Below are 25,444 nucleotides of genomic sequence, written 5' to 3' on the forward strand. Positions count from 1 at the left end.
AAGTGCTGGGATTACAGGCGTGAGCCACTGAGCCCAGCCAAGCTGCCTCTTCTTAAAGGAATTTCCTCCTCTGCCAAGTAAGGAAATCCCTAATGCTGTATCTTGAACTTTGTCATGAGGCTCCGTGATGAAGGAGTGACGTCAAGAAGGGACAGGCCAAGAGAGGGAATGTGACTGTCCCTGGGCTCCCTAAGGTTCTCTGAGGGGAGGTGCAAGAGGCCAGGCAGGGGCCGGGTGCGGTGGCTCATGCCTGCAATCCCAGCACTTTGGGAGGCCGAGGCGGGCGGATCACCTAAGGTTGGGAGTTCGAGACCAGCCTGACCAACATGGAGAAACCCCGTCTCTAATAAAAATACAAAATTAGCCAGGCATGGTGGTGCATGCCTGTAATCTCAGCTACTCGGGAGGCTGAGGCAGGAGAATATCTTGAACCCAGGACGCAGAGGTTGCAGTGAGCCGAGATCATGCCATTGTACTCCAGCCTGGGCAACAAGATTGAAACTCCGTCTAAAAAAAAAGGCCAAGCAGGGATCCACAGGCAGGGTGGAAAGGGGCACAGAGGCAGGGGCCGCTCCGTTTATGTGACGCCATCCACATCGTTATGCAACACCACAGCTAAAGGTGCAGTACAGCCAACAGTGCTCCCACCCAGAGGGCCGGAGAACTTTCTCCAGTGGAGATGCAGTCCAAGGAACTGGCTCTTGCCCCAAGACCAGAGTCAGTCAGAGATCCAGGGCAGTGGGGCCCCATGGCTGGCTTGCTGTTGGTCAGCCAGAAGGGGTGCTTTCTACACCTGCTGTCTCCCCGACCTTTGTCAGGTAACGACAGATGTTTCCCCACACCACAAGTTTCCACACAGTGAAAATTACCAGTGGATGCATCCCCTCCGGTACACAAACCTGGCAGGGGCTGGAGACCAGAGGTGTGACCCAGGGAAACCACCTGGCAAAAGTGGCAACATCTGGCCAGGCGCGGTGGCTCACGGCACTTTGGGAGGCTGAGGGGGGCAGATCATCTGAGGTCAGGAGTTCAAGACCAGCCTGGCCAACATGGTAAAACCCTGTCTCTACTAAAAATACAAAAAATTAGTTTGGCGTGGTGGCGCATGCCTGTAGTCCCAGCTACTCAGAAAGCTGAGGCAGAATTGCTTGAATCCAAGAGGTGGAGGTTGCAGTGAGCCAAGACCACTCCACTGCACTCCAACTTGGGCGACAGAGAGAGATTCCGTCTCGGAAAAAAAACAAAAACAAAAACGTGGCAACATCTGAACCTCAGACAAGCACTTCCTGTGTGCCCTAGGCTTAAACTCTGTCCATAAACTTTAGACCATCTGTAAACCCACCACCAAGGAAGAGCAAATTACACAAACGTGGGACACAGTGCCCACAAGATCACAGATCCAAACAACTGTCTCAGAGGGTTTTGAGTGTTGTTTCACAGGCCTTAAGCCCAGGTCCACCCAGCCCGCATCCCCTCTGGTATATAAACCTGGCAGGGGCTGGGGACCGGAGGTGTGACCCAGGGAAGCCAGGTAAAGTGCACACTCTAGGATTTGAGACAGGATTTGTTTTCCTCTTGGGGGTAACTCAGCACAGAAGAGGCCACCTTTAGATTTAACCACGAATTTGTTCTGGGGTTTTCCAGCAGCATTTTATTATTTATTTATTTTTTGAGACGGAGTCTCACTCTGTCGCCCAGGCTGGAGTGCAGTGGCACGATCTTGGCTCACTGCAAGCTCCACCTCCCGGGTTCACGTCATTCTCCTGCCTCAGCCTCCGGCGTAGCTGGGACTACAGGTGCCCGCCACCACGCCCGGCTAATTTTTTGTATTTTTAGTAGAGATGGGGTTTCACTGTGTTAGCCAGGATGGTCTCGATCTCCTGACCTCGTGATCCACCAGCCTCAGCCTCCCAAAGTGCTGGGATTACGGGTGTGAGCCACCGCGCCCGGCCATTTTATTTTTTAGAGACAGGGTTTCCGTCTGTCGCCCAGGCTGGATGCAGTGGCACCATCATGGCTCACTGCAGCCTCGACCTCTCAGATTCAAGTGATCCTCCCACCTCAGCCTCCTGACTAGCAGGGACTACAGGCGTGCACTACTAACCTTTTTTTTTTTTTTTTTGAGACAGTCTCGCTCTGTCGCCCAGGCTGGAGTGCAGTGGCGCAATCTCGGCTCACTGCAAACTCTGCCTCCCGGGTTCATGCCATTCTCCTGCCTCAGCACCTGCCACCACACCCGGCTAATCTTTTATATTGTTAGTAGAGACAGGGTTTCACCGTGTTAGCCAAGATGGTCTCGATCTCCTGACCTCGTGATCTGCCCGCCTCGGCCTCCCAACATGCTGTGATTACAGGCATAAGCCACCGCGCCCGGCTACACTGGCTAATTTTTTAACTTTTTATAGCGACAGGGGTCTCACTATGTTGCTCAGGCTGGTCTCAAACTCCTGGGCTCAAGTGATCCTCCTGCCTTGGCCTCCCAGTGTTAGGATTACAGGAGTGGGCCACCATATCTGGCCTGAAATAATTTTGGAACCTCTCCTCTCCTCCCTTGGGAGGGCTGACTGAGGATGAAGAACCCACAGCTTTCCCTGGCCCAATGTATGTACTTTCAGAACTGAAGGGCACCAGTCCCTGCAGAGGACTCCAAAGACCATCCAAAGAAATCTGGGCAGGGCTTTCTGGAGGGTGGCCTGTTGGGAAGAACCTGGCCCTTTCCTTACAGCCAGCTCTTCTCACACCTGAGCTGGCCCCAACAGCCAGAGGGAATAGCCTGCTCCTGCCACAGGGCACCAAGATCGTACCTGTATGTAGTTGGGACTACAGCAGAAGTTCAAACTCTGGGTAAAAACTAGACACGTTCCCACTGCATATGCAGTAGATGGTAGACAAATAGTTAATCATCAGATCAAAAAAAAATTTTTTTTAAACATCAGAAATACATGTGACAATCCGATGATTTTTTTTTTTCTCTGAATAGACTACTAAGTCCAGCCAATAAATGGCTTCTAGTGGAGGCTTAATAGCTCAAGACCTGTGAGGCTACTTAAATCAAAGGAAGAACGCTTTTTTAAACTACCATCTTGGGCTGGGCACGGTGGCTCACGCCTGTAATTCCAGCACTTTGGGAAGCCAAGGTGGGTGGATCACCTGAGGTCAGGAGTTCAAGACCAGCCTGGGCACCATAGTGAAACCCCCATCTCTACCAAAACTACAAAAAATTAGCTGGGTGTGGTGGCGGGTGCCTGTAATCCCAGCTATTCGGGAGGCTAAAGCAGAATTGCTTGAATCTGGGAAGTGGAGGTTGCAGTGAGCTGAGATCGCGCCATTGCACTCCAGCCTGGGCAACAAGAGCAAAACTCTGTCTCAAAACAAAACAAAACAAAAACCTACCATCTTTAGGACAGGGGTTGGCAAACTATGATCCATGGGCCAAATCTAGCCCACTGACTGATTCTGTATGGCTTTTAGCATGAAGAATTATTTTTACAGATGAACATTTGCAAGAGGCTTGATGACAGGGAACACTAATGAGTCCCAGTTAAACAACATGTTATCTCCTAAAAGAACTCCAGTCCTCACGTTAGTGGGCCAGTAGCATTATAAATAAACTGAATTCCACTTTGAATTTCACCAATTAAAAATTTGGGAAATCTGTTTTCTCTCAGAATATAAGTACTTACACAATGTCCTTAGATTTTGCCTCTTGGCCTGCAAAGTCTATATATTTACTAATTTAGGCCCTTTTAGAAAGTTTGCCGACCCCTGCTTTAGGATGTCAATTTGAATCCCAAAGCATCTAAAACATTAAATTCTGTCCCTAATATGCCAAGAGGAAGAAAAGTACAGCCTGTTAAATATTAACGCACACTTTTTTTTTATTATATTAAAATCAGGCAATGGTCTGACAATAAAAAGGCTGCTTATGGAATACTGTTATGTTAAACTTCACTTACAGGATGTTAAATCCTTAGAACTAAGGTTTTCCCCCCAGAAAAAGATTAATGGAAACATCAATTGCTTTTCAGACTTGATAGTTGCTGCTTCAAAAGGTGGTTTTACACAAATACTAAATTAAAAAAAAAAAAAAAACCTTTAGTACACAATGAATTGCTTTTATTTCGGTATGCATCCACATTTCAGCATTTAGTGGTCCTGAACAGCAAGTGGAAAGACGCAGCAATTTGCCAGGAGGTCAAGCCCACCAATTTCGGGGATCTGCTGTGCACACCGGGTTCCTTCTTAATCCCTGCTGAGGATCTTGGGAAGCAGCAGCAGCACCAAAACCAAGGCATGCACCGGATTCAAGGTTCTTTTTGTTCCAGTTGTCAGATTCCAAACTAGACCCCAATGGATTGCAAGGATGACCAAATGAAAGCCCTGTTTAAAACTTCTTCAATTTTTAAAAGCAAAAGCAGTTACAGGAAAGTAAAACAATTCAGAGGGATCATGTGTGCTTACAAGTATCTTCATGCGGTCTTTCTCCAAGTTCAACCACCAAGGACTCCGAGAGCTGGCAGGTCTGAGTAACCCTGGTGACTATTCTTTTCACCTTATCAAAACCTGAGCTAAAAACAATGCATCAGCTGATGACAGCAGAGGGTGGCAGGGCTGAGGACCCAATATTCATTTCCCAGGCTGGTGGAGAGTGAGTGAGTATGGTTCCAAAACTAAACAAGGGAGGTCAGAGGCTCTTTCCAACCTTACCTGATGGCTTCTGGCCAAAGCAAGGAAGTGTCATGGAAGGTGTTGGGTGGTGACGGTGCAAAAAGGAACTTGAGGAGGAGGGAGAAAAAGCAGCACCCCTCGATAAAGGTGGGGGAGAGAAGATATGGGGAAAGCCCTGAATTCCTCACCGAAGGCCAATCTCAGAGGGGAGTGGAGGGGTTACAATCTATGCTTCGGCCAAGGGCGGGAGTGGAGGAGCGTGGGGACAGGATGATGGTTTGGAAGGGGCATCACTTAAGACTTAAAGAAACCAGGGGTGCAGGCGAAACACCCCACACACCTAGCAGTAGTCCCACAGGCTGCGACCTGAAACCTTCACATCTACTCTAACAAGCCCCCCAGGCTAGAGGGCTGTTGTTGCAGGGAGGGTGGGAGGCGGGAGGGTAAGGGGAGAAGGCAGAGACCCCAGGCCGTGTAATCAGCAGCAAGGTGATTGTGTGATGTGTCTTTTCACAGTTGAGTTAGATGTGCCCCACCAGTTATGATGGGAATCAATTTAAATAGACTTTCTTGATCCCAGAAGTTCAACTACGTGGACAGTGGTTACACTTGACAGGATGATTTGTTATAGCACAACTTATATATTTCAAATGGACAAAAAATTAGTATCATTTACAGTATCTTAAGATAAATTTCCTTTGAATGGGAGCTTCCTTTCCGGTACTTTGAGGTCTACAAGACGTATCTAGAAAATTTACTACTGTGGAAAATGAAGACTGATTAAATCGAATTGGGGGGAAGGGGAAGGGCCTGTGGTTTTTCTTTTTGATTAATTGCTGTAACACTGTCCTTCGGGCGGCTGAGGGAGTTTCATATTTTCTTTAGACATCATTAGGCGCCGAAGCTCTTGCAGGACAACTTTGATGCTATATGAATTCTGCCATTTTGCTAGCACTGATATGGCTCTTGGGTCCACCTACAACAAGGCAAACAAAAGCAAATTACTCTCAGACTCTCAAACAAAATAGCTATATGCCGGGGTTAAGCTAAGGTGCAAACTGGAGTAAGATGTACTTTTTAAGCTGAACCTGCTGCTAATCCTAATACCTTACATGCGGAATACCTACCTGCTAGAGTCCCTCCCTCCAGTCAGCCTGCCTTTCCCTTTTGTGCCCTGAACCATTACTATCTGGGATAAGGAAACGGTGGTACTGACACTTGGGTGAGACTCAACCCAGCCCTACTTGGCTCTTCAATAATGGCCGCTGCTGGGCTGGCGGCTGCCGGGCTCAGGACCTGTCCTCTTCACTGCGCCCAGGTCAGGGGGACAGATGTGCATGCAGGGCAGTACGGACAGCCAAGGCAAAGGGTGGCCAGGACACCTGCTCCAGTGACAAGGGCCTGCCACAGAGCCAGCACCTCTCAGGTTAAGGCAGCATTTCCCAAAATAAATTCCCCAAAGCACAGGTTGAGCTCTGGGCTCAGGACTTTAGGTGGAACTCAGATTCAGGATTAAACACTAAACACACTGTAACAAAGCTCATCTCTTTTCAATTTTCCAGTCTTCTGAGTATCTCAAAGACGAAGGCTTGGCGTGACGTTAACATGTGTAGCATCCCTTCAACACTTGCTGATCTCCTCTTTGAACAGGAGAGCAGGCCTCAAAGGCTCAAAGCTTTTGGCAAATGACACATGGAGTCAAGATTTATTAACATTGCTCTGTTTTTGTAATATTTACTGTTGCCATTATTGCCCAGTTATGACAACTGAGACAGGTTTTTCATTTATGGTAGTAAAAATAAAAAAGCAAGGCCATTAAAGGAAAAAAATATTACATGCCAGTGGTTCACAAATAAGGCCCAGGGGGGTAAAGGTGTAGCCCTGGGAAAGATCTTCCACGTCTGTGCCTCAGTTTCCTCATCTCTACCTCACTGGGGTGGCATGAGGAAAGAGCTCATATTTCAAAGCGACCAGCACAGAACTAGCCCAGGGTAAGTGCTATATGAGTGATCGCCAGATATAATTGGGAAACAGGCCCCATCCCAAATCTGTGCTCCTATGCACAGTGATACAGTTTATCAACAAATAACCAAAGAACCTAGGAATTGGGCCCAGTCTAAAAGCTCCTGATGTTAAGTACAAAGCAACTGTCAACTCCAAGGAACAAGTGGGACAGAGAAAACAACTTACCACTCCATTAGAACTATTTACTCCATTCATATTAATTTTTGTTACAAATCTTACAAAGGGGGGTGCTTCTGGGTATTTAGGTCCACATTCTATTTTAAGGCTGTATATTCGGTTTTCATAAATTGTCTGGAAAAAAAGAGTACGGAGATGTCACGCAATTACAAACAAAGCATTCAAAAAGGTAGAGCTTGTGAAACCCCATTTATCCCTGACTGTAGAACTGGTACATCTGCTTCCAGCATGGAGTCTACTTGTTCTGTGGTAGGTCAGCAGTTCTATACTAGTTCCTACACTAGTTTATATGACTTCCGGGCCTTGGGGGAATACAAAGAAGATGGAGCATTTAAGCTAGTACCAGTGAAGTTTTTAGTATTAAGTCTAATCAGAGGGACCTGTTTTTATGTTAATTTCTCTACTTTGCAGTCCTTCTCTGGGGAATGGTAAGAGGCATTCTCTATTCTAGGAAGCCGAGTTAAATGTCCACTCACCAGGATCATCAGCCAATCAGTTAAATAACACTATGTGGTATTAAAGCACAGAACAGGTCACTGCTTTAGAGAACCTCAAAATTAAGACAAGACGAGGGAGGGGTGCAGACTCAGAGCTGCTTCCCCCTTCTCCATCACTCCGGGGTTAGGCACTGGGTAAGGGATTTCAACTGGGGTGTTCCATCCCTCCCTGCAGTCTTTTTTTTTTTTTTTGGTAGTCTGACCTGAGAGATTACTGGCATTCAATGGGTGAGGCAGCACAGGGAAAAGCAGTCTTTTTTTTTTTTTTTTTTTTTTGAGACAGAGTTTTGCTCTTGTTGCCCAGGCTGGAGTGCAATGGTGCGATCTCGGCTCACCGCAACCTCCGCCTCCCGGGTTCAAGTGACTCTCCTGTCTCCTGAGTAGCTGGGATTACAGGCATGTGCCACCATGGCCGGGTAATTTTGTATTTTTAGTAGAGACAGGGTTTCTCCATGTTGGTCAGGCTGGTCTCGAACTCCTGACCTCAGCTGATCTGCCCTCTTCGGCCTCCCAAAGTGCTGGGATTACAGGCATGAGCCACCGTACCCAGCCAAAAACCGTCCTTCTTTAAAAGGCTAACTGTGCCTTTGTTGAGAAACACTGAAAAGTCCAACCCCCTATGCCAATAACCTCTTCACTGTACCATCTACCCCATAAGCAGGGAGATGCGCTCTGTTGCCCGGCTGTTCCTTCTGCTTGGAGCGTCCTGCCCCCACCTGAAATGCCTTGCAACCCTGAAGACCCAGCTCAAACACTACCTAGTCCCTAGCTTTCTATCCCATATGAAGTCACACTGCTATCACATGTGTCTGAAGACCACACTGAAGGGTGATGTCTCCCAGTAAAGAGTAACCCCCTCAAAGGCAGGGGCTCCCCTCTCTGTGGGTTCCCCTGTCAGGCATCAGTGCCTTCTCCGGCATCAGTACCCTCTCCGGCATCCGTGCCCTCTCCTCAGGAAAGGAGTCTTGTACTGCATAATTGCTCCCGTGTAAACAGCGGCATCTAGTGGTCTTTGGGGAGAATAAATCAGAGGATGTGATTTAAACCCTTGATTCAGAAGGCATTCATAATATACCCATGGAAACTTTTCTTGTCCACAGGGATCCCAAACTACAACCAAACCAAAACTGTGAATTTCTACCTACCCTCAACCTGCCCTCTTCCTCCTCAGTGAATGACATCAGCATCTACCCAGTTAGCTAAAGCAAAAACTAGCAGGCAACCCAATTCCCCTCTCCCTTACCCTCTACCTGCCAGTGGTCAGAAGGTCCCACTGTTCTACCTCTGAAAGAGACCCCACTGTTCTACCTCTGAAAGAGACCCCATATCCATCCACTTTCCTCCACCACCGTCACCTCTTCTGAACTCCCCCAAGTCTCTTTCTCTCTTGCTCCCGGCACAGCAGCCAGACCAACGTCTTAAAAACAGGAAGCTGTCTCTGCTGGCTTAACCCTCTGATGGCTCCTAGTGACCTGAAGAGGAAGCCAAAGTTCCCAGACTGACCCGGGCAGCCCTAACTGCCTCTTCTTTTACTCTTCTCCCTCCCCTGCCCACCATTCCTCTTCAACCTTGCCAAGTTCTCTCCACCTTGGGGCTCTCACCCCAGCTGCTTCCCCTTGGAAGTGTTCCCGATCCCCTCAGCCCCTCCCAACTGAGGCTCAGTTATGCATCAGACACCCTCACTAAACACAGAAAAAGGAGGGTGGGGGCCTTGACAGGGGCCCTCAACTGAATTGGTACTCAAATGTTTGTTGAATGTTTCTCTTCACACTTTTATATTATAAAATAAACACCTCATTGCAATTAAGGTGTTTCCTCAAAGAAAAAAAAAACCCAGTAAACAGAACAAGTAGGAAGCAAACAAAGGCATGACTCACATACAGATTTATGGAGAATATAACAGATCCATCCTCAGAACCTATCATAGTCTCCATCAACAACTATATACTCAGTGTTGACTGAATAGATCCTGAATGGAGCAAAAATCATGCTCCCTGGTTTTGTCACACAATTCAAGAATGAAATTCCTTACATTTTAAGGAATCAAATTTCTCACCACTGATATTCATCTGGTAATTTCACTGGAAGACAGTAAAAAAAAAAGCCTCAAGTCATCACAGACACACACCTGAAGGGTCATTTAAAAGCCCCAACCTAAGGCCGGGTGAGCTGGCTCACGCCTGTAATCCCAGCACTTCGGGAAGCCGAGACAGGCGGATCACAAGGTCAGTAGATCGAGACCATCCTGGCTAACACGGTGAAACCCTGTCTCTACTAAAAATACAAAACATTAGCCGGGTGTGGTTGTGGGCGCCTATAGTCCCAGCTACTTGTGAGGCTGAGGCAGGAGAATGGCACGAACCCGGGAGGTGGAGCTTGCAGTGAGCCGAGATTGCGCCACTGCACTCCAGCCTGGGCGACAGTGCGAGACTCCATCTCAAAAACAAAAAACAAAAAACAAAAAACCCCAAGCTAAGGCTGGGTGCGGTGGATGACGCCTGTAATCTCGGCATCTGGGGGGGCCGAGGTGGGTGGATAACCTGAGGTCAGGAGTTCGAGACCCATCTGGCCAACATGATGAAACCCTGTCTCTACTAAAAATACAAAAATTAGCCAGGCATATTGGCAGGTGCCTGTAGTCCCAGCTAACCGGGGGGCTGAGACAGGTGAACTGCTTAAACCTGGGAGGTGGAAGTTGCAGTGAGCCGAGACTGCACCACTCCACTCCAGCCTGGGTGACATTGCGACACTTTGTCAAAAAAAAAAAAAAAAAGCCCCAAGCTAGACTTTAATAGAAACCAGGGTTACAGGGTTTCTGGTTTTTTTATTTTGTTCATGAGTGCTCCAGGGACCTGCTAAAAAGGTTTCAGCAAAGGAAATGTGCCTGAAGGAGAATTGCTGGAACATTCTGCGTCTGTGAGAAATACTGCTCTTAAGATTCATTATTTGATCATGAAACAAACACTTTCCACTTTGTTGATATGGCTCATGCTTTGTGGAGCCGTTTGGCAGTGCTCATCAACATGTGAAATGGGCATGCTCAGACCAGCAGGCCCCTTCCTAGCAATTTCCTTCAGAGAGACGCAAACTTGTGCACAAAATGTGAAGCACTGTCTGCAATAGCAAAAATAACTACAATCTACATGTCTCCTTGCAAGGGACTATATGAACATGGCATATTCATATAACCCGGAGACTTCGTAGCCTTCTCAAAGGCCGAGGGACACTCCTTGGGCACACACACACATACGAAAGACTGGCAAAACATGGCACCAGGTATAGACGATACATTGTAGGATATGTATAGCCTATAAAAGCAGACATACACTTTCTTCCAATTCTGGATATATTTGTGTGCACACAGGCTACTTTGTCCATTAGGCACTACAGGCCCAGAGCCTGGAGATTATAAATTTTTCCTGGGCCAAATGCATACATATGAGATAACCCCAGTCTAATCATTAAAAAAAAAAAAAAAAAAAGACAAATTCCAATAGAGAGACAGTCTACAAAATACCTGACCAGTACTCCTCAAAACAGCCAAGGGCATCAAAAACAAGAAAAACCTGAGAAATGTCATTGCCACGAGGAGCCAGAGATATGATGACTAAGTGTAATGTGGTATCTTGGATGGGATTCTGGAACAAAAAACAGATATAAGTAAAAACTAAGAACACCTGAATAAAGTATGGACTTTAGCTAATAATAATGTATCAACGTTGGTTTATTGGTTGTGACAAATGTACCATAATAACATAAGATGCTAGCAACAGGGAAAAGGTAGCACAGGAAGTACTACCTTTGCAACTTTTCTATAAGCCTGTAAGTATTAGAAAATAAAATTTGTTTTAAAAATGTATGAGCTAGGCTAGGCACGGTGGCCCACGCCTGTAATCTCAGCACTTTGGGAGGCCAAGACAGGAGGACTGCGTGAGCCCAGGAGTTCAAGACCAGCCTGGGCAACAAAGTGAGACCCTGTCTCTACAAAAAGTAAAAAAAAATTAGCCAGGTGTGGTGGTGCGCCTGTGGTCTTGGCTACTTCGGAGGCTGAGGCAGGAGGATTACTTGATCCCAGGAGGTCAAGGCTACAGTGAGCTGTGATTGTGTCACTGAACTTCAGCCTGGGTGACAGAATGAGACCCTATCTCAAAAAAAAAAAAAAAAGTATGAGATATGAGAAAAGGAAAAAGGTATTAATTACAAAAATATGCAAGGAAAATTACAAAATCTAAACATACAAAAAGGAAACATTAGGTCAACCAGTCACCTGCTATTCAGTTCCAATCTTACATAGTTATATACAAATTACGTTTAATGTACAATGTGGGTACATGCTATGTTAGAATGCAGATCACAGTAACTGTTGGGGAGAAGAGTGGGGATATGGCAGTTAGGGATAAATCAGGAAAAAAGACTCCACACTAGGTTTTATAACAGAATTTAATATAAGACATTGCTTAAACAGGCGTCAGTGGACTGAAAATGTTCAAAGGGAATCTAAGCTAACACAGATGTAATAACGAAATGAAGCAGGATGGAAACTCTTAAGGGAGGGGGGGATAAGCTGGAGTTTACCAGGGTTGAGTTTACCAGGGTTGGAGGCTAAGGAAGAGGTCTGAAGAGTTGAACTCAGAACTCTGAGGAAGGGGTGCTGCCTGGCTGCTGCTAGAACCTCCAAGGAGGGGGCTTGGCGGGATGTGATGAGGCTGGTTTTGTGAATGTCCCCAGAAAGCTGGAGGTTGAAACACACTGCTGATGCCAGGATGAAGGGCTGTTACCAGGGTGGTACAGACAGAACAAACAGGCAAACTGGATACAGCAAATCCCTTTTCCCTTCCCCATGCCTTTCAGGCTCTCTCTTGTGTCCCTGACTGGTGGAACCTTCAGAGGAAGCCAGCTGACAAAGGAAAAGTGTAGTGTGCAGAGTCCCAGCCCCAGCATCCAAAGCAGAGTGGAGAGAAGTGGGCTTGGAGTTTCCTAGCCAGCAGCAGCAGGCACCTCTCTGCACAGCGACGAGACACAATTATCCTTTGTACAGAGACTCTCCCTCTTCCCACCATTCATGGTATCTTTCTGAGTGAGCACGGGGCCCATCTCTAGGCAATAGTAAGTTTTCACTTCTCTAGTTAGGTTGTAGAATATTTGGGTGGCACTCAAATATTCTTAAGGACTGAATGGTCAAATTAACCACATGATCCTAATAGAAAATAAAAAGTAGGAGGCATTTGACCCTTCACATTTGCTTGCTGTTCCTTTAGGTATCACCCCAGTATGAGCCCCTTACCTCGGCAGCAAGAGCTGGTTCTGGGCTTCAGTGTCTTTTGCACTCCCCCAACCAGGCTTGCCCCTGCCCCGCAGGTGCCAGCAGCAGCAGAGGGGGCACCTTTTCCCCAAGTGCCAGGTTCTGACAGCCCAAGCTTCCTCTGCTGGCCTCCCAAACCCAGAGGGTGGTTACTGTTTCTGCAGCAGTATCTCTGTGTTCTCATATTGTGCCTTCTTTGATTTTTTAGTCCAACATCTATTTGATCAACTTCCTATATTAAATTATCTCTGTTGCCTAGTATTGGGTATCAATCCAAAGGAAATTAAATCAGTATCTCAAAGAGATCATCTGCACTTCCACACTCATTGCAGTTATTCACAATAGCCAATATATGGAAACAACTTAAATGTCCTAGAGAAAATATGGCATATATCACACAATGAAATATTATTCAGCCATAAATAAGAAATCCTGCCAGTCGGAGAATTGCTTGAACCTGGGAGGCGGGGGCTGCAGTGAGCCGAGATGGCGCCACTGCACTCCAGCCTGGGCAACAGTGCGAGACTCTGTCTCAAAAAAAAAAAAAAAAAGAAATCTTGCTAGTCATGACAACATAGATGAGCCTGAAGGACATTATGCTAAGTGAAATCAGCCAGACACAGAAAGACAAAAAGTGTATGATCTCAATTATACATGGAATCTAAAAGTAGAACTCACAGAAGCAGAGAACAGAACAGTGGTTGACAGGGACCAGGGTGTAAGGGGAGATACTGGTCAAAGGGCACAAACTTTCAGTTATGAGTAAGTTCTGGGAATCTAATGTAAAGCATGGTGACTACAGTTAATAATACTGGATTGTTTACTTGAAATTTGGTAAAAGAGTAGATCTTAAGTGTCCTTACCACAGACACACAAGGTAGCTACACGTGGTGATGGATGCGTTGATTAATTTGGTTGTGGTAATCATTACACAATGTATATCAAATCATCACACTGTATACCTTGGATATATACAGCTTTTATTTATCAATTACATCTCAATAAAGCTGGGAAAAAAATTAGCTGGTATGATTTCTCTTTTCCTGACTGACACAGAGTTAAAGCGGGACTAAGTTAACCTCTTATTCTATATACTCTGTATTGTTGGAAAAAAAATTTTTTTTGAGACAAGAGTCTCACTCTGTCACCCAGGTTGGAGTCCAGTGGTATGATCTTGGCCCACTGAAACCTCTGCCTCCTGGGTTCAAGCGATTCTCCCTCCTCAGCCTCTTGAGTAGCTGGGACTACAGGCGTGCATCACTACGCCCAGCTAATTTTTGTATTTTTAGTAGAGATGGGGTTTCAACATGTTGGCCAGGCTGGTCTCGACTCCTGACCTCAAGTGATTCACCTGCCTCGGCCTCCCAAAGCGCTGGGATTACAGGCGTGAATCACCACACCTGGGCTTTTGTCATTAAAAATTTTTACAAGAATATATTCATATTCATTAATCAGTCATATAACTTAAGGCTTTTTTTTTTTTTTTTTTGAGATGGAGTCTCGCTCTTGTTGCAAGCAGTGGCGCGATCTCGGCTTACTGCAACCTCTACCTCCCAGGTTCAAGTGATTCTCCTGCCTCAGCCTCCTGAGTCAGGCATCTGCCACCGCGCCCAGCTAATTTTTATACTTTTTTAGTAGCGACCGGGTTTCGCCATATTGGCCAGGCTGGTCTTGAACTCCTGACCTCAGGTGATCTGCCCGCCTTGGCCTCCCAAAGTGCTGGAATTACAGGCGTGAGTTACCACGCCCCGCCTCAAAGCTTTTAAAAAAGAGATCAGTCAATATGCACTGATATAGAAAGATGTCCACCATCTATTAGGTGAAAAAAAATTAAGTTGTAAAACATTATGCATAGGAAGATCCCATTTTTCTTAAAAAGATATATATTTACGTTTGCATACCCACAGCAAAAGTGGGTAGAACCACACCACACACCAACTTAAGTTTCATTCGATGGTGAGCATAATGAATCAGAGAAAGGATCACTTTTCTTTTACTTCCTACACCCCTGTAATTATGTTCAGTTCCTCTGAAGCATGGGTACCAGTACTCCAGGGTATAAACACACATCCAGGCTCTAATCCACACATAAAACACTTGGCCGGGTGTGGTGGGCTCATGCCTGTAATCCCAGCACTTTGAGAGACCAAGGTGGGCGGATCACCTGAGGTCAGGAGTCTGAGACCAGCCTGGCCAACACGGCAAAAACCTGTCTCTACTAAAAATATAAAAATTAGCCGGGTGTGGTGGTATGTGCCTATAACCCCAGCGACTAGGGAGGCTGAGGCAGGAGAATCGCTTGAACCCGGGAGACAGAGACTGCCGTGAGCTGAAATCACGCCACTGCACTCCACCCTGGGCAACAGAATAAGACTCCATCTCAAAAAAACAGAAAAAACACTATTTTGGAGAACCCCAGAGGCTCAACAGTGCTCCTCGATGAGGGCCATTTTTGCCCCTCTGCTGGGAAGGGGAAGGGAGGATCAAGCGTTGCCTAGACACATTTATGGTTGCTGCAATGGAGACGGGGGTACTGCTGGCTTCTAGTGAGTAGAGGCCAGGGATGCTGCTAAACAGCCTACAACGCACATACCTAGCACTCTCATGACAAAGAAAAGAACCAGCCCTACATGCCACGTCTGAGAAACTCTGCTCTATATAACTTGACTATTGTTAGTACTTCTGTGGTCAAAGTAGAAATATTCCATGTCTAACGCTGTGGACAGCTAGACATTTGCCAGAATTGTGCAAGGAGCAGTTGGCTCAGAAGCTTTGTTTTTAGGTTTGGAGGATTTGCTTTTCTTTAAATAAACAAACAAACAAAAAAGGTGGGGGCACTATTCAAACAGCACACACATATGACTAAAACATTCAAAGAGTACAGAAGGGTATATGGTAAAAAGTAAGTTTCCTTTCCACTCCAGCCCTAGCCAGCCAGCTCCCTTCTGAAGAAGACAACCACTGTCAGCAGCTTCTTTCCCATTCCTCCAGAGGTATTCTAAGCACACAGAAGCAGTGTATGCATGAGCTCTTCCTCTGCACCCAAGGCCCCCCACTCCAACTGGCAGCATACTCTGTCTCCTGTTTTATAATTTACTTTTTCACAATATCATGGAGATCATTCCATTTCAGCACACATAAATCTGTCTCATTGTTCAACAGCTAAACAGGACATAATATGGTATACTCAAAGACAATGATGTTGTTTCCAATATTTTGCTACTACTGACAATGCTGCATGAAATAATTTTGTACACTGCCTTTGGGCAATACATTCAAGAGAAATTGGAAAGTAAATTCCTAGAAGAATTCCTGGATCACATGGTATAGACCTTTGAAATTTTGATGGAAAATGTTCTTTTGAGTAAAACAATAACAAAAACCTAATAGGGAGATGAGTTACTCAAGTGCTCTATTTAGATGCTTTAATAATTATGTGGATATTCGAGTTACACAGCAAATAGCTCATGTGCTAATCATGAAAGATTGGTCACAGGAAGCATCTACACACAGATAGTTCCTTTTATGACTTAGTTTCTGACCTTGGGGAACCAGGATAATAAAAACTACAAGGGTGAAAAGACAATAACAAGTGTTGGTGAGAATGTGGAGAAATGGGAACTTTCGGGCATTGCTAGTAGGAATGTAAAATGGTGCAGCCACTTTGGGAAACAGTTTGGCATTTCCTCCAAATGTTAAACACAGTTACCATATGATCCAGCAATTCCACTCCTAGGTATACACCCAGGGGAATTCAAAAATGTATCTCCGGCAGGGCGCGATGGCTCACACCTGTAATTCCAGCACTTTGGGAGGCCGAGGTGGGTAGATCATGAGGTCAGGAGTTCAAGACCAGCCTGGCTAAGATGGTGAAACCCCGTCTCTACTAAAAATACAAAATTAGCTGGGCGTGGTGGCGGGTACCTGTAATCCCAGCTACTCGGGAGGCTGAGGCAGAGAATTGCTTGAATCCGGGAGGTGGAGGTTGCAGTGAGCCGAGATTGCGCCACTGCACTCCAGCCTGGGAGACAGAGCGAGACTCCAACTCAAAAAAAAAAAAAAAAAAAAAAAAATAATAATAATAATAATAATAAAATATATATATATAAAATATATTATGTATGTTATATATATAATATATATAGGCTTGGAGGATTTGCTTTTATTTAAATAAAAATATATTATATATTATAATTATATATCTTATATATAATTATATGTAATATATATTACATATCATATATGTTATATAAATATACAGTATATATAATATATAACATATGCATTATATAATATATAATGCATTATATAATATATAATGCATTATATAATATATAATGCATTATATAATATATAATTATATATAATATATGTCCATCTTCAAAGGAGGAAAAATTAGGTAGCTAAAAACAACTATGTCCATCTATTCCAGCAGGTGTAGATAAAAAAATAAAAAGAAAATATATGTCCACATACAAACCTGTATATAAATGTTCCTAGAAGCATTATTTATAATAGCCAAAAGGTAGAAACAACCCAAATGTTCATCAACAAATGGAAAAACAAAATATGGCGTATCTGTACAATGGAATATTATTCAGCCATAAGAAGAATAAAAGTATTGATAGATGCTACAATATGCTTGAACCTTGAAAAAATTATGCTGAGTAAAGGAAGCCAGTCACAAAAGGCCACATACTGTAGAATTCCATTTATAATAGATGTTCAGAAAAAGCAAATTCATTGAGCTAGAAAGTAGACTGATGATTGTCAAAGATGGGAAATGGGGGATGTGGGAGGGAGAATGGGGGGTGCCTACCGATGGGTATGGGTTCCTTTTTGAGGTGATGAAAACGTTCTGAAATTAGTGACGGATGCACAACTCTGAATGTAAGACCACCGAACTGTATATTTAAAAGGGTGAATTCTATCCCAATAAAGCTGTTACCAAAAACAAATACATGGAGGACTCCTGGCATACCGTAGCTACGCATTACAACTTCCAAAGCCTCTTTTGGAAAGAGATAAACTGAAATTCAGGGTAGCCCAAGCTGTTTTAGGCAGACAGAATATTTTCAGCAGAATTTACTGATGCATTGTTTTGTGTGTTTTTTTGAAAGTGTACAATTCAGTGGTATTTAGTGTATCGCAATGTTGTACATTGGTTCAATTCTCAGTATTTTAGAACCTGTAAATCAGTAAGTTGATTAACAAATCTACTGAGTACCCCATTCTGAGTCATTTCTAGGTATTCTGGGAAGTAAGGAGGGAAGCACAGTTCTCATCCTCAAGAAACCGAAATCATTCTTAGGAAGAGAAGACATGCAGTGAAGAAGATGTCAGCATATGATGGACCTTCAGAGACAGCAAAGAAAATTATCTCCATGGAGAAACAGGATTTCTAGATTGGGTTTTCCCCGGTATTTAGCAGACGCAGAAAATTCTGGTTTTCACAGGAAAAAAAGGATAAAGAAATGAGTAAAAACAGATCAAATGTATATATTTTTAAAACTCCACAAAACTATAGGGTCACAAAATGACTTAAGAAGCAACATTAAATGGCAAAGCCAATCATTCACCATGAGTGTTGATGACCATCTGAAATGAGCATTAGTGTCCTAACACTTAACGAACATGTCACTTGTCCCTGTTCCAGCCCGGGCCACGCCCTACATGTCTTTCTGCTCTCACAGTGCTAGTGCAGAGTCCTGCACACAATCAAAAGAATGAATGTTGTCATCATCCTTAAACACAAGCAGACACAGGACAGGTCTTGCTACATTCAGGCAGAGGCCCTTACTGCTTGTCTGAAGTGTGTGTCACAGTATGGAAATCAATTTCTTGACTCCTACATCAAGTTACTACTTGATTAGTATCTTCTATAATGGTAACAGATGAAAACTCAAAATGTAAACAAAAGGGAGACACCACAGCACAGTGGTTAAGAGCACAGGCTCTGGAGTCAGATCTGGTTTGGGGGTTACCAGCTATGTGACTTTGGGCAAGAGATCTGACTCCTCTGAGTCTGTCTCCTCATCTGTGAAATGGAATGCAATTGCACCTAACAATGGGGTCTTGTGAGAGTTAAGAGACATTTCTTGAGGGTTTACTATGTGTCCTCAAAAAACGGTTGGCTGGCATTATGAAGACTGGGAACTCTCACAAATCAGGAAGGTCTGAAAGAGGCCACTTTTCCCCATCCTCATTGTCTTCGTCTTCTTTGCAAAGGCCTCTGGGTCTAGTAGTGCCTGGAATAGACCAGGAGCTGACAGGCTTGCCAGGGACCTTTGCTGAATGGCCCAAGGAACTAGGATACAGGTGCACGGCAGACCTGGGAGACAGTGAAGAAAAACCACAACTGGGAAGGCTTTCCAGAGTTAATTTGGAGACTGGCTTCAGGAATGCTGGCTATACCTAGGGCCTAGTTATTTGGTTAGCCCAGAGATTGTTCTGAACGACATCTGATGGTGCAATGACTTCACACCTCACTGTCTACATTGTCATATAAATTCACACTATGAGTCTAAACAGGTTTTTGCTTACCATTTAGAGGGGTTAAACAGCATCAGAGGAGGTTCAAATATATAAACTGAAACTGGTCAAAAAAGAATAGCCACATTTCAGAAAATATACCATTGGTGAGCTTTTTTTCCGTGATAAGGCTAATATTTTTTAAAAGGAGGCACAGTGAATTTAAGACATTGACATTTATAGCCGTAGCTCGACGCTTACTCTTGGAGGCCCAATTATCATCCCTGTCCATCTTGTAAGTGTCATGTCTTCGTCATCTTCTAGACCCCAGCTAACTGTGCCATCTCCTACTCCTTTCTGGCCTTCTTCGAGTTCTTCCAACAGTCGGAAATTGCGAGGGACTTTTACTCCTAAAATAAATGGAAAGAAATTCAAGATACCAGCAACTCCAGGGGAACTTGTAAGCCTAGAGCTAGCTGCTCATTATCTCTCCCTGGGAATCAAGATGCTAACATGCAAAAAAATCACGGAAAGTTATCACACCTCAAACTTGCTACTTATAAAGCTATCAGTATCAACCAGCACAACCAGAGGGAAGGGGCACATGGTTCTCTGACAGGTGAAGTGACTAGGGCTAGATAACCAAACTTAGAAAGATACCCCACCCCTACCCCTTGGACAAACCTCCTAAGGGGCTTACATGTCTAAATGTCTATGAATTGGGGTCAACTAGTATGAGATGAAAACCATCAATATCAGGTGCTAACAAAAGTACCTTGGAAGACAAGAGGCTAAGACTACGCTTATTTGTTGGCATGACTCTCAAACAACCTTTAGGAGGAATAGTCACCATGGATATGGGAAATAAAAATGGTATCCTCTTAATCAACTAAGAGTCAACTGAAGGCACCAAGGATAAAATATTCTATTGTTTTTCAATTATTTAAGTGATAGTTTCTCTTTTAACTTACAAAAAAGCTAAAAGGGAATAGCTGGTTCTCAATTGTTTTCCAAAAATCCCAAAGCCTGGCAAGTAGCTCTTGAAAGCAACGCATGAAAACACCTCACAGGTTCAAGCCACAGTACCGGGTTCAGGCTGAGGCTTGAGCCATTTCTAGGTGTCTTCCAGAACAGAACCTAGGTACTGGGGCCAGACAAGGGAGGGGGCTATGGGAGGAGAGAGAGATGGACTTTCCTTCTGTGCTTGGGGAACAAATCATCTCTCCTAGGGTTGCACTCCCAACCAATCCTGACTGTCTCTCCTTCCTCCATTTTCCCTGGCATATGCACTATTTTCTCTGGAAAAAACTCAGGATCCAGTCAAGTTTCAAGTTCTCTGCCTTGAATGCTGAGCTCTCAATTGGCCAGACTCTCAGAGACAAACAGGACTAACCATGTGACTGTGAAGAGAGGCTCACTGGAGGGACCCCAGATTGTGGGAGGTGTTGCCAGTATATGTATTTCCCAAAGTGTAGGACACACGCCATTAATTCAATTGGAATAAATATTTGAGTACTTAGTATACATCGGGGACTTTTCTAAGCACTGAAGAACAAGCAGTGAATAAAACAAAAATGCCTGCAGCTTACATTCTAGTAGAAGACATATAATGGACAAAAATGAATATGTAAATTATACAGTATGACAGATCCTGGTGTTCCGGAGGAGGGAGTAATACGGGAGGGGCTATACTTTTAAATGGAGGGATAAAGGAAAAGTGTTATTGCAATCAGGTGTCATAACTAAAGACCTAAAGAAGGTGAGAGGGCATGATTTATGGATAGCTGAGGAGAAAGTCTTTGAGACAGAGCAAACAAGTGCAAAGGCCCTAAAATAGAGGCTGCTTAGGGTGTCAAAGGACAGCAAGGAGGCCAATTTAGCTCAAACCAAGTGAGGAAGATGAGAGAGCAAGAGGAGATTAAGGATGCCAACTGTTACTGAGTGACATGATCTGTCTTGTTTTTAATAGGATCCCTCAGACTGCTGTGTGAGGATGAGAGTGAAGGGAGCAAGGGCAGAAGCAGCTAGGAGGCTACTGCAATAATCCTAGCAAAAGATAATACCCGTTTGGACCAGGGTGATAGCAGGAAAGTAGTGAGGAGTGGCGTAATTCTAGGCATTTCAGAGGTCTGAGCTGTGGAGATTTGCTATCAGGTTGCCTGTGAGGTGTGAGAGACAAGAGTCAACTACAGCTCCCAGGTTTTTGGTCCAAGCAACTGAAGGACAGAGTTGGTAGTGGTATGTTAGAGGACTTTCGGTGGTATGTGATTGAACACTTCGTTTTACAGTCACGTATTTATGTTTAAGAATAACTTATTTAGGGTAAGTAATATACTAACTTCCCATTTATAATAATGGTAAAAGTTTCCTTTAAAATAAATGTAAGCAAAAGAGTCAGTTGATTACAAGAAAAATATTAAATAGTACTACATATGGTATTTGAAAGGAAACAGCAAAACCTGCAAGCATACTTGAACTGCTTGTTTGGAAAACACTGGCATTTTCATCTGCACAGCAGCCAACTGGATTATTCAGCTATACTGGATTAAGTCTCCTGTAGCAAACATAAAACTGAAAGATAGTGGTGACATTATAGGCAAAAAGCCAGACAACACAACTATTGTTCAGAAAGGGTTCAATCTAAATCTTTAATAATCCTAATTAGGCTAGCGGGGGAAAAGTCACTACATTACTACTGGTTAATTTACAAGCCTGCACTAATAAAAATGAACATCAAAAGAATCATATTGATAGGAAGGCTGATGACTGAGGTACTTGTTCACAGATCGTGCTATGGGCTGGGCTGAACTGTGTTCCCCTCAAATTTATATACTTAAGTCCTAACTCCCAGTACCTCAGAATGTGACAAAACCTGCTGACACCTTGATCTTGGGCTTCTGGTCTCTAGAGCTGTGAGAAATTTGTTGTTTAAGCCCCACCCAGTCTATGGTATTTTGTTATGACAGCACTAGCAAACTCATATAGATGATAAGTGACATCTTAAGGAGCTTTATAGAGTTGGTAAGGATACAGAACAAGATGTTAACAGCTGTTATCTCTGGGTAAAAGAATTATGGATGATTCCCCCTACTTTCTCTATTTCCTGATTTTTTTACAACAATCCCATGTTATTTGCATAACAAAAAACCAATTAGGAACCATTTCAACTGCACCCCCACGCAAGGACCTACCCAGGGCCTGTGCGACTGTCATTCCTGCTGTCCAGAAGGCTCCTTCCCCTAGGAATCCATAAGCCAAGCTCCCTCAGCTTCTTTAGGGCTTTGGTTGTCCAGCACTTCATCTCAATAAGGATCAAGGGTTCTTCTCTGAGTAGGAATCTCACTTAACGGCATTCCTTAAGTGACTAACTTTTAATGGACAATGATTTTAATGTTACTAAAACTTGGTCAGCTGGGTATGGCAGCTCACACCTGTAATCCCAGCACTTTGAGAGGCCAAGACAATCGTCTGAGGCCAGGAGTTCGAGATCAGCCTGGGCAACATGGAGAAATCTCATGTCTACAAAAAAATACAAGAATTAGCTGGGCATGGTGGTGCCCACCTGTAGTCCTAGTTACTCAGGAGGCTGAGAGGGGAGGGTCACTTGAGCCAGGAAGGCGGAGGTTGCAGTGAGGCGAGACTGCACCACTGCACTCCAGCCTGGGCGACAGAGTGAGACCCTGTCTCAAAAACCAAAAATAAACAAAAAATAATAAATAAATTAGCTGGGTGTGGTGGTGCACACCTGTAGTCCCAGCTGCTTAGGAGGCTGAGACAGGAGGACTGCTTGAGCCTGGAAGGTCAAGTCTGTAGTGAGCTATGATCACGCCACTGCATTCCAGCCTGGGCAACAGAGCAAGAACCTGTCTCTATTTAAAAAAAAAAAAAAAAAAAAGACGGGGCGCGGTGGCTCACACCTGTAATTCCAGCACTTTGGGAGGCCGAGGTGGGTGGATCATGAGGTCAAGAGTTCAAGATCAGCCTGGCTAGTATGATGAAACTCCGTCTCTACTAAAAATACAAAATTAGCCGGGCGTGGTGGTGTGCACCTGTAGTCCCAGCTACTCGGGAGGCTGAGGCAGAAAAATTGCTTGAACCCTGGAGGCAGAGGTTGCAGTGAGCTGAGGTTGCACCACTGCACTCCAGCCTGAGTGACAGAGCAAGACTCCATCTCCAAAAAAAAAAAAGTGTTAAGACTGTCAAATAAATGGCAAAGTATAACAGCTTCTACAGTTAAGCCCTTCATTACTGAATGGAAGCTGTATTACACAAGTGACCTCTATTTTGAGTTGCTCTTTTTGGCAAGACAAAAAAATGTGTTAGTTTCTTATGTCAGGTATTTAAATGTCAGCTGGACTATTTATAGTAGGACTATTCCTCTTGCAAACTTAAGCAAAGAACTTCTCTATGGCTGAAAGGTTACCTTTTCACCTAACAATCAGATCTGATTAGGAAATCCTAACATTCAAATATCACAAGCTTGTTGCTATTAGTTTCAAAACAGTGAATTCAAGTTATAATTTTCTGATATTTAATTTTTACTTGTGAAGTAGGGCAAAATATATTAGTAATTAATCCTATACTTCCAACATACATTTCTACTGGATTAGATATTCGATTACTTAAAAACAAGTGTGCAAAGCCCACACATACAACTGAACCAAAGAAATAAGTCAGGTCAATTTATTTTAGGCTAGGATTTGGAACAGGAATTGAGACCCACAGAGGGAAAGGTCAGCTTTCTTTTGTTCCTGCATTATAGGACAATTTGATTCTGACTCAAGTTGTAAAGCCAGCACCAGAAACAGTTTAATAAATGAAAAACTTTGGACTGGCCAATATCTATCTGTATTGCAACTAGGAGTTGTGATATACATATAAATATCTATAACTGCTATCTACTGAACAATTACAATAAACATTTATTTCATTTGAACAGCAGTTCTCAAACCTTTTGCTCTCAAGAATGCTTTATACTCTCAAAATCATTGAAGACCTCAAAGAACTTTTTTTTTTTTTTTTTTTGAGACAAAGTCTCGCTCTTGTTCCCTAGGCTGGAGTGCAATGACGCAATCTCAGCTCACTGCAACCTCTGCCTCCTAGGTTCAAGCAATTCTCATGATGTTTAATGTGTATAGAACTGGACTTCACATTTATAAGCAAAAAAAAAAAAAAAAAAAAAAAAATTTTACACATTTCAGGACCACAGTGAAAAAAAGTTTGCTTGGCTTTTTACCTGCTTGTCAAAATTTCCCTATACATAAATTATCAGTAACATATAGGCACACACACCTTCTCTCAGTGTGATAGTTATCCAATACCTATCCAGCACTTTGCTAGACAATCTAGGGGCTATGAACAAAATAAAAACTGGGGTCTCCCTAACACAGTCTAAGGTGTCAGTGTGGAAACAAGATATACACAAAGGGCAATGAAATAAAACCATATCAAAGCACGAGAAACAGAACCTACCAGAGGACACTGTTACTTAGCCTTTGAGGGCTCACAGCCTTCTCTGAAATCTGACAAAAGATGAAGAGGTTGGAGCCATGTTACTACTGGACTTTACCTTAAGGGTAATCGGGGGGAGCTGCAAAAGGCTCAGAGTAGGGCAAGAGATAAGGCATATCCAAGTCTCCTAGGTAATGATCAGCTTTGGGGTGTGCTACTGCTAACGTCTCAGGATATAGAGCCAGAAGCATTTGCCTAGAGCAAACACTGTGACCGAACATGTGGCATCAAACTTCTTATAGGCCTGCGTGATGGGAAGTAGAAGAGATGTAGAAGATAGGGTAATTAATTCAACAGCTCATATTCATTTGCATGACTGTGGTGGTAGTTCAAAAAACAACAACAACAAAAAACAAAAAAACTGGCCTGTACCCAGTACTTCAGATAAATACCTGTTGAAAATTTTTTAAATCGAGTAAAAAAGGACAAAAGGTCTGCAAACCTCATTTTCTAAAAAACAAACACAAAAGCAACCTTGTATGCATCCTTGCATGTTCATTGTACTCTCACCAATGATCTTGGGGTGTCATGACCCAGAATCACTAACGTAAGGATACCTGGTCTACCACTCTGTTTTTAAAAGACAGGTCAGAGTAATGGATATATTACCTCCCACATGCGCTACCATGCCTGACTAATTTTGTATTTTTAGTAGAGACGGGGTTTTTCCATGTTGGTCAGGCTGGTCTCGAACTCCCGACCTCAGGTGATCCGCTGGCCTCAGCTTCCCAAAGTGCTGGGATTACAGGTGTGAGCCACCGTGCTCGGCCGACGATCCTCTTAAAGGTAAACT

The 25,444-nt window shown here is 43.9% G+C and overlaps 2 protein-coding genes across 20 annotated transcripts in view, besides 1 other annotated feature; both read right to left on the reverse strand.

Annotated features, from left to right (window-relative positions):
* Nucleotides 3,854-25,444, reverse strand: part of PEDS1-UBE2V1 (PEDS1-UBE2V1 readthrough) — a 72,600-nt gene continuing 51,009 nt past the window's right edge. The window contains exons 6-8 of the mRNA NM_199203.3: nucleotides 19,402-19,550; nucleotides 6,859-6,984; nucleotides 3,854-5,644 (exon numbers count right to left, since the gene is read on the reverse strand). Of these exons, the coding sequence (NP_954673.2) occupies nucleotides 5,498-5,644; nucleotides 6,859-6,984; nucleotides 19,402-19,550 (422 nt within the window). The 3' untranslated portion in view covers nucleotides 3,854-5,497. The remainder of the gene's footprint in view (nucleotides 5,645-6,858; nucleotides 6,985-19,401; nucleotides 19,551-25,444) is intronic.
* Nucleotides 3,854-25,444, reverse strand: part of UBE2V1 (ubiquitin conjugating enzyme E2 V1) — a 34,834-nt gene continuing 13,243 nt past the window's right edge. For 7 of the 19 annotated variants that reach the window (NM_001257393.2, NM_199144.3, NM_021988.6 and 4 more), the window contains 3 exons: nucleotides 19,402-19,550; nucleotides 6,859-6,984; nucleotides 3,854-5,644 (listed from right to left, as the gene is read on the reverse strand). In NM_001257393.2, coding sequence (NP_001244322.1) covers nucleotides 5,498-5,644; nucleotides 6,859-6,984; nucleotides 19,402-19,550 — 422 coding nt within the window. In that variant the 3' untranslated portion in view covers nucleotides 3,854-5,497. Of the gene's footprint in view, nucleotides 5,645-6,858; nucleotides 6,985-18,144; nucleotides 19,001-19,212; nucleotides 19,551-21,611; nucleotides 21,712-25,444 lie in introns of those variants that run through there. The other 12 variants (NR_047554.2, NM_022442.6, NM_001257394.2 and 9 more) reach the window with 8 other exon arrangements.
* Nucleotides 21,992-22,655: an enhancer, noted in NCBI's record as "NANOG-H3K4me1 hESC enhancer chr20:48715799-48716462 (GRCh37/hg19 assembly coordinates)". NCBI's record gives its function as "activates a minimal SCP1, AML or CMV promoter by ChIP-STARR-seq in naive H9 embryonic stem cells {active_cell/tissue: H9 hESC(naive)}" and the evidence as "EXISTENCE:reporter gene assay evidence [ECO:0000049][PMID:30033119]".

This window comes from Homo sapiens, chromosome 20, assembly GCF_000001405.40.
Source record: "Homo sapiens chromosome 20, GRCh38.p14 Primary Assembly".
NCBI classification, from domain to species: domain Eukaryota; kingdom Metazoa; phylum Chordata; class Mammalia; order Primates; family Hominidae; genus Homo; species Homo sapiens.